At 36.7% G+C, this 9,315-nt stretch overlaps 1 pseudogene; it reads right to left on the bottom strand.

Moving 5' to 3' along the window:
• Positions 5,267-6,916, bottom strand: OSBPL9P1 (oxysterol binding protein like 9 pseudogene 1; annotated as a pseudogene).

Genomic DNA, 9,315 nt, shown 5'->3' with positions numbered 1-9,315 from the left:
TCAATGACTTTTTGAAATGGAGCACATATCATTTTTATTTTCCACCAAATTTACTATTTATTATCAGCCTCACTAACTTAGAAATAGACAATTAAGGTATCTTTATTGCTTAACTTATAGAATAAACTTAATTTAAAGACATAAACTTTTCCCTATATAATTCCAAGAAGTATTAGAGTCTTACTTCAGAAAAATTAATGTAACTGAATATATTTAACTTACTTCTCTTTCTTCTGTAAATTTTTTACTTAATTCAGGTTGGACAACCAAAAAATTATCAAGAATCTGTGTATTATTTGATCTGTGTTACCTCACCTAATTTAAAAAATGGTTTAAGGAAATATAATTTCTGGATTTTTATTTTATAGACAAAGAGACAACAATAAATGTTGATTAGATGTAAATTAAAATGAGGATAAAAACATGGATTGGGAGTGGTAAGATGGAGGTCATTAGTGCCTGTGAAAATTTTCAACACCTTAGTGTTTTTTTGTTAATTTAATACTTCTAATGTTAAAAAAAACCTTAGATTTTTCCTCATCTGCTTAACATGTTTACAAACTATACATAAACTATCAAAGTTATATTTTAATTCTGATTTTCTCATGAAAATGAGAGACATATTTTAATTCTATTGTTGACAGTTTTTACATTTTATTTGCTTTTTAATGAGATTTTTTAGTTTTATAATGAAAGATGAAATAATAATAATAATAAATATTGGCCTTTTACAAGAAGTCGCTTCTTCATTTTTATCATGAGAAACACTTGGTGAACTGACTTCATTCCCTCATAAATTATACATGACACTCCCATGCAAAGCTACAAGAGGTGGAGATACGATCAGGGTCTCTCAAGCAATGTGAGGATCTACACATGGAGATGTGAGATTTAAGAAAATGAGAGAAAAACCATCTTGGCCACACAGGTAAGACTTCCGAAGACATGTCCTTCTGGCCATCTTTTAGTTTACTTTTTCTGATCCCCCAGTCAGGAGGCTGTGTCCATTACCCTTTTAACAGTTATCTGCCTTAGTGAGTGAGTTCCTCCAAATCATTGCTTCTTCTGCTTTTTATTTCCACAACAGATTCACAGCATGATATGTTTTGGCTGTGTTCCCACCCAAATCTCATCATGAAATTTAGCTCCTGTAATTCGCATGTGTACTGGGAGGGACCAGGTAGGAGGTAATTGAATCATAGGTGCGGATCTTTCCCATGCTGTTCTCATGATAGTGAATAAGTCTCCAGAAGATCTGATGATTTTTTAAAAGTGAGTTTCCCTGCCCCCACTCTCTTGCCTGCCACTATGTAAGACGTGCCTTTCTCCTCCTTTGCCTTCCACCATGATTGTGAGGCCTCCCCAGCCATGTGGACCTGTGAGTCAGTTAAACCTCTTTTTCTTTATAAATTACCCAGTCTCAGGTATGCCTTTATTAGCAGTGTGAAAACAAACTAATACACAGCACCACTCAAAGCTGGTTGACAGTTCTCTCATACCTCATGTTCAAACTCCCAAAGGAGTCAGAAAATTGCAAACCAGAAGGCACCATCCCTCTTAACCAGTCCTCTTTTTGGAAGCTGACTCAAAGTCTTGTGCTCAGACACCAATATCCAGTCCCTGCAGTTGTGAGCAGCCTGGTGAGGGCCATGTGAATAGTTCAGGGACCTGGGCTTGTAGAGCTTGGGATCATTTTACTAGGAAGGGGGTTGGAAGCTGGGGAAGGCTTTGAATGCTCAAATGTTCTTCTCCCAAGGACACTGAATCACATTCCCTAGTCCTAGATATTTTCCAAGCTGTAGAAACTTATTTCCAACCATCATTCAAGAATAGCCAATGCAATTAAGAAATGGCAATTTTAAATTCACTTATTTACTTATTTATTGATTGATTTTACCGAAGAAATGCATTGTACCTTTGATCCTATGCTTGAAAGAGCATAATTTGGTGTTTTCCAGGTAGCAAATGGAGAAAGGGAATTCTAACCAATGGGGTCAGCATATGTGCCTTTGGAGGTAGGCTGAGACGTTCTGCTTGGCTTAGATGTGAGTAATGGGCATATGACAGGGATTATATGAGATTTTCTGGGAAAAATCTATATAAAATGACAGACCAAGATTGTGTAACCTCTGTAGCACTTCATTTCCTTTGTGTAAAATGAGTTGCTTGAATGGGTTGTTTCCTGAGACATATTCTATGTCAGTTGTATTCAGTCATTTCAAGTCTTCTCTGACTGGAAGTTTCTTTCAATGTCCAGATCTAGCTTCTAAACAGAATAGAACATTATGTGTTATTTCCAGCTAGTTGGTAGAGTCTCAACCTTTCAGGAACAATAATCACTCCGAGGCTCCTCCCACTTCTACAAGATGCAATTTATTAATAACAGTTTTTCCAAAGGTCTATGTTCTTCATGTTTTCCTGGATCCTTGCATCCTTTAAAAGACTGACTCAAATGCATCTGGAAAATGTGGGTCTTTTGCTTTATCAAAGCTGCATTTTCTTATTAGCACTTTCTATATTATGGTAAAAATATGTGACCCTATCAGCCTTAGATTGGTAAACCATTTGGTATTAGAGATAGACACATCTATAATGAAAGCCCCACTATTCCACCAAAAATCTTTGTGACCCAGGGTGAGTAATTGAATATCTATGGACATCATTCATGAAACAAAAGAGGTAATACGTGTGCAAGGATATGTAAGAATTAAAATGATGCATACAAAGGGCTTTAAAAAATTACAACTATTCCTCCTATTATCATTATGTGACCTCAGAAATCCTTCATGAAACTGCAGCCTTTACACTCTAATGCTGTACACAAATCCCATATTGCCCAGTACATAGGATAATTTATATTCCCCAAAATGTCTATAGGTAAAATATGTGCCTACTTGCTACATCACTGTTTTCTATATATTTCTTTTTGAAATCCCCAATTGTTATTAAAAACATTTATTATTTGGAAGAAGTCATATATTGTTGAGAATATTTTGGAGAAGAATGGGACAGTCATATACATCCTTATATATGAAAAAATCCTGGGAGCACATCCAACTATTGAATTTATAATATATGAGAAGCAAAGTTCTATTTTAAAATACTTGTCAGACACCACAATCTAGCAATATGCCTGTGTGTATATGTATGTGAGTGTTGTGTGTGTGTAGTGATACATAACATTAAAATTTAGACATCAAACTTTAAAATAAATAAAATAAGGTTTATATCATTGTGACCAAGGGTTGTGTGGGTCAGGAGTCTCTGTTTGTTTCCTTTTAGTAAAACAAAACAAAACAAAAAAGAAACACTTCTTTTAAAGTGTCAACTCATCCTTCTCTTTTGCTTTCATACAAAAATTAACACAACATGGAGTGCTTAAAAATTTCCTAGGGTACGGCTCCCACATTGAGAACTTAGTATATGAGATTAATTCACTAGGTATTAGGGAAAGGATCCTAACATTAACGGGAGGGAAGATGAACTATTTTTCAAACAGGTAGGAACAGAAGAAAAAACATACAGAAAAGAAAGAAAGAAAAAAATGTTTCATTGGCAATATGGCTGGCATCATTCCCCACAGCAGGACAAATCATTGTAAGCATATACTCAGAATAATTCAATTTCCTAATTAATTGTTTTAAAAGCAAGTTGAAGGAAGAAATGATTTGTTTCCTAAATTTAAGAATTACTAATGTGATAGAGTGGTTCTAGTGGAACTGTTTGGATCACCCTGTTTTATTTTTGTTTTTAAATCTTACTTATTACTGTTGTCTTGCAAGCTGAAAATATTGCAGCCAAATATTAGAGTGAGGTATATGAATTCATTAATAATAAGTAATTCGACCTCAACTGTCAATGCGATTTTTAATTTCTAGCAGCTTTTATGAAGCACCTTATAATTTCAATTTTTTATTTTACCTCTGGATCTCAAAGTAGCATTTCCTGGAGCTGGCCATAATTACTTTATTATGGCTTAAAATTGCCTGTGTGGAGGCTCACTGTGTAGTTTCTATAGAGCCCACTGAAAATATAAACAACTAAGAAAAGCAAATATTTTCCCGCAGAAATGACTTGAAAAATCATTTACAGTAAATGTGTAACTGAAAATACTTTACCTGCACTTGTTTGGGTATTGGCACTGCTAACATGCAAATGCTCTTTCAATGTTAGTTTTCTTTCTTTATATTTTACACTACAGAAAGATCTCTTGCTGATATTTGTTAGTAAGTCAATCTTTCTTACAAACATCAAGAGATGACCTTTTATGACCCAAAGATTTATCAAGGCAGCAGTCTATTCCCTGGGGCCAGCATCTTCAGGTTCTTCCTCTGCCAGTCACATCTGTTGAAGGACTTTGCTAAATCCCATGAGAAAATGGACTAATCTACTTGTTTCGAAGAACAAGAATGACATCTTCACTGGCTTTATTTTGTCTATAGAGGAAACGAGTTGATAAAGGATGAAGTACTTTATCCAATTTTGAAGATTTGATGCACAGTTATTATAATAAAGGATACAGAGTGTAGCAGTTATTAAACAGCTACTCTGAGAAAATAAGGCTTTATTACTGGGGAAAAAAAGAAGAGAAACTTATTACAATGAACTCAATGAGACGATCATACTTAAAAAGAACATTCCCTTTTGTAAGTTCATTTCTCTTTCTGATATAATATGTGGCTGTGACATTCTGTAATAATTAGTTTCTAGCCTCTTGTTTTGATATTGTAAAAGTCCGAGTGCACCTGCAATTCAGTCCTATTATTTGTGACTTGTAAGTTTGTCCCTATAAATGACACCTGGTGAAAACGTTACAGAGGAGGCTTGTCAAAGACTCCTTGAAAACTAAGCAGTGTAAAGACTAAGCAATTATCATCAGTGCTAGTTTTTAGATGAGAAAAGACAGCTACAGCCACTGCAATAGCATTCAAAATGAATTCCCAAGTTAGGAGGAGTACAAGTAACCCTCAGTGTTAACCAGATTTACAAAGGATGCTGCTAGGTTATCTAATGAGAGGCAGCTTGAATGTGGCACTTTTGCCATGGAGCTTAAGTGAACCACTTATTTTCTTTTATTCTTTAGATCAGTAAAGTAAATAGAAGTCTGGGCTGTTTCATGTCTATATATTAACCAATTTTCATTATCTTTTTCTCTTGCTTTTAAGTAATTGTGCTTAATTGCACTGTTGAATTTTGCAATTTCTAGGGAATTATATTTTATGGCATGGCTCTGAGCTTAAAGAACAAATGTACTCACTTTTTTTTGGAGGAATAAAAGAAAGCTTTTCCCAAATGAACTGTCCATGTGCATTGGAAAGTCCACTATCCCTGAGATAGAAGCCGCTACAATAAGTAGGGACTGAATAAGTTCTCTCAAAGCAAGATTGATTGTTGTTTATTAGGCTTACTGACCTGGTCTTCAGTTGTAAACTTTATACTTCTCAACCTAATGCTTGGCAGCACAAAAATCTTTCTGCAATGGTTCATAGTAGACCCAGCATTCTCCGTCTTCGTGAAATACCTTGTCCCCATTGAATTTTCTGTTCCTTCCTTTCTCAGGCTTCTGCTCTTTGCCTTTCTGCAAGTCTGTGCTTTGCCTCAGTTGACACAGCAAAGTCTCTGATTCTTAAGTTGAATGACATCTTTCCAAAGGCAGCTGGATTTATCCTCATTCTGTTCTTTCAATTTCCTCACTTTCTTCTTGATTATAAGCAACTTCATGATATCAACAAAGGCGGTGTTTTCCCCTTTTTGCATACTGGGCATGCATTACATCATTCCATTTCCCTTCAATTGAGCAAAAAGACTTCTTGTCATTTGGAGAAAAAATGTCAGGGATAATTCTGTGCTTCTTGCCCCCACAGAAAGTGTAGAAGACGCTATAGCCCAGTTTGAAACATTTAATGTTGCATTCTCTCCCTAATTCCCCACAGGGCACTGTGAGGATAAACCTTCCATAACCACAGGGGAATGTGAAAGTGTAGTGCTCATCATATTCTAGACAGAAGACATAGCCTTGCCCTAGCTGTGCACCTCAATTGACATCCCATGGAATTTTTATTTGTTCCAGATATGAGCATCAAATTGTATCTTCTTGTTAAAACACTCAGAATAAAAGGCTGCAATGGATGCATGATGGGAAACCTGCTAAGCCATGAATGTTACACTATTTTTGGAGACCTAGGCAACTGGTGCTTCTGAAACTAGCTCTGTGTTATCTTCAATATCATTAGGTAATATCTAGTGATACTAAAACATCTCACTGAAAATGGTGTTGTATGACATTTTGGCAACCAATTCTTTTTTTTTTTTTCTTGCATGAAAGGCTGAGAGGTACCATTTTATAACCTAAACCATTCACTCACTAGGACCCTTCTCATCACTAATGTTCAAAAACAGATGCAAAAAAAAAGTCTGCATACATTTCTAAGAGATCTCTCGAGAATAAATGTTTGAAGAACTATTTTCATTCTATCTTAGTAAGATTCATTCCAAGTCTAACCCATGACAAGACATTCATGATAATGCTCTTATGCTCCTCTGCTGACTGCCTCTGCAACATCCTCTCTATCACCATGTAAATCAAAAAGATGAGCATCACTTGTTCCACTGGATATGAAGTAATTAAATGATTCTGTGGTAAGTAGGCACTTTAGACTACTTCCAGAGCTACTTTGTGTCAAGACTAAGAAGGATCAAGAAGATTCTATTAAAGTACTTTGAGAATGAACCACTTTTGGAGAATTCACCAGCATCGTAGAAGTCATCTTTACTGCTAGAATAAGAGAACACTGGTACTGTATCTGCAGACAGGTTGACTTGACTTGGAGAAGTTAGACTGTGATTAGGTAGTAAATGGCCACTGACTGTGCTATTTGATGTTGGAGGCTCATGATTTCCCAAGGCAACTAATACAAATCTAGCCGTAATATCTTTTCAAAGTCTTGGACGCTAGACATAAATCCGGAATCCATACCCTAGAGGCCAGTGGGAAGGAGATAGAGCACAGCTTGACCCCAGGCATGCAGCAGGGACCCTGGGGACCCAGAGGTGGCAGTTGCCCCTCTCCCAGAACCATGGTCTACTCAAAGCTCAAATGGCCAGCATGAAAGTCATTTGTCAAAGCTCTTGCCCTCCATCCCTCCAGGGAAGGGAGTCAGGGGCTGCTCTGGAGCAATCCTTTTTGTTCCCCTGTGGATTGATCGGATGGATCCCTAGGCTGTGGCACAGAGAGCCGATATACTCATTGTTTTTAATTTTCATTCTTTCTTTTATAATTTTTCTCTGTGTCTTTATGAGTTTTACATATGCAAACTTAGAAATATGTAAGTGAAGAAAAAAGCTAAGCTTTCAGAAATACACCCAGTAGCAACTAAATGTAATCCACCAATAACTGAAATCACTGCATCTGATAAGTCACCAATATGTTACAATGAGATTTGCAACATTTAATAAACATCTGTTATGTGACTTTTTTGCCAGATATTTTCAAATATGTTAATTTATCTTAAAAAGTAAATAACTAAAACAACTTATTTTAAAAATTATACCCTTTATAGTATTTTTAGTAAACAATAAGTCAGGTATAAAAATATAGAGTTCTGTATTAATTTACACAGGGCTTTATACACAGTCAAATTCAGTAATAGTAAGTAATATTTTTACAACACAATTCACCATATAACATTGATACTCTCAGGAATAACACCACTCACTTTGAATAAGAGATACGAAATTAACTATAATACTCTTCTGAATGCAGAGTAATGAAAAACCTACGTAGGGAATAAATCCCATTTATTTCTGCCTCAGATGCCAGTGATAATACATATTTTAGTTCGAGCATCTGACTGGAACATCTGTTACCTGTTTTGCTCTGGCTTCTGAAAGCTCTCTTTTTAGTGTGACTGATCCCCACTATGTGTTTTATGATGTACAAGTGGCATAACAGCACATAGCATATGTTATTCGGTATTGGGCTACATGTCTTTCATTGACCGAGGCTACAAATCTTCTTTTAATTCATCAAGTAACATAAGGATTCTTCAATAATCTAGTCTTTAACACCTCTAAGCCATACATAGAAAGACTTCCTTTGGTTACAAATACAATAAGAAGTCCAAGTTTGTAACCCTTGTTTCTGACAGTATTACAACTTGGGCCGGGAGAAAAGCAAAGAGACAACAAATAGTATTATGTGAGAATGGCAATAACAACAAGGTTCATTTTAATTATGTTTTGATGAAAAGAGAACAATGACATTAAACCTAAGAAAGAAATCCTGGCAGTTCCAGTTTAGAGAGTATCAACCATATGCCGTATGGTTTCCATATTCAAGGGAGGAAGTGAAGATCAAAGAGGTAATGTGAGGTATGCCAATCCACATAGCTAGCAAATGCAATTTAGGGCTCCCTCATGTTAAATCCAGTGTTCTTTGCCCATCTTCATATTATTGTCATTAGATAAGCGACAAAGGTGAGAATAGAAGCAAAGTACTCAGGGAATCACATCCTCTAATATTCTGTCTCATTGGGCTCCAAAGTGGCCATTCTCAATAATCATTATTTCCTTTCCACTATGCCTGTGCATTCTGTTCCTGCCATTATATCCCCTTCTCCCTGGATTTTGCCTGTTCTTAGCACATTGCTTGATCTACAGTGCATAAAAGTGTCCTCTGTGACTTCAGAGACTGAATATCCAGATGAACATTCAGATGAAAAAAGCTTTGTGGTGACCACCTCCTACTCTTGGAAGAGTCAGGGAGAAGCCAGTTGTGTGTGAAAAGTCTGGCTATCCTGAGAACGCCACGTGGTGAGGAAGCCCAAGTTAGCCATGCGGAGAGGCTTGAACACTGAGAGAGATTCCTGAACCAACCAGTGCCTTAGCAGACAGCATGTAGAGAGGAACCAAGGTTCTCAATGACAGACAGAACTGAAGCCCTAAACTTAGAACACAGTCAAACCATTTCAAATCCTCACAACCTAATGAATAGCCCCAGCTTAGGACCCAGGGAAGGTATCACGGAGGCAAGACAAGCCTCCCTGTTGTACCCAGTCCAAATTTCAGATGCATAACACTAAATAAGTTATAAAAAAGATATCTGATGTTTTTAGGCTGGCAAAGTGGCTCACGCCTATAATCCCAGCACTTTGGGAGGCTGAAGCAGGTGGATCACTTGAGGTCAGGAGTTTGAGATCAGCCTGGCCAACATGGCAAAAACCCAACTCTATTAAATTGCAAAAATTGGCTGGGCATGGTGGTACATGCCTGTACCCCAGCTACTCAGGTTGCTGAGGATGAGAATTGCTTGAACCC

Source organism: Homo sapiens, chromosome 3 (genome assembly GCF_000001405.40).
Source record: "Homo sapiens chromosome 3, GRCh38.p14 Primary Assembly".
Taxonomy (NCBI): Eukaryota; Metazoa; Chordata; class Mammalia; order Primates; family Hominidae; genus Homo; species Homo sapiens.
The sequence above is the reverse complement of the archived record's forward strand: the minus strand, read 5'-3'. Positions and strand labels throughout refer to the sequence as shown.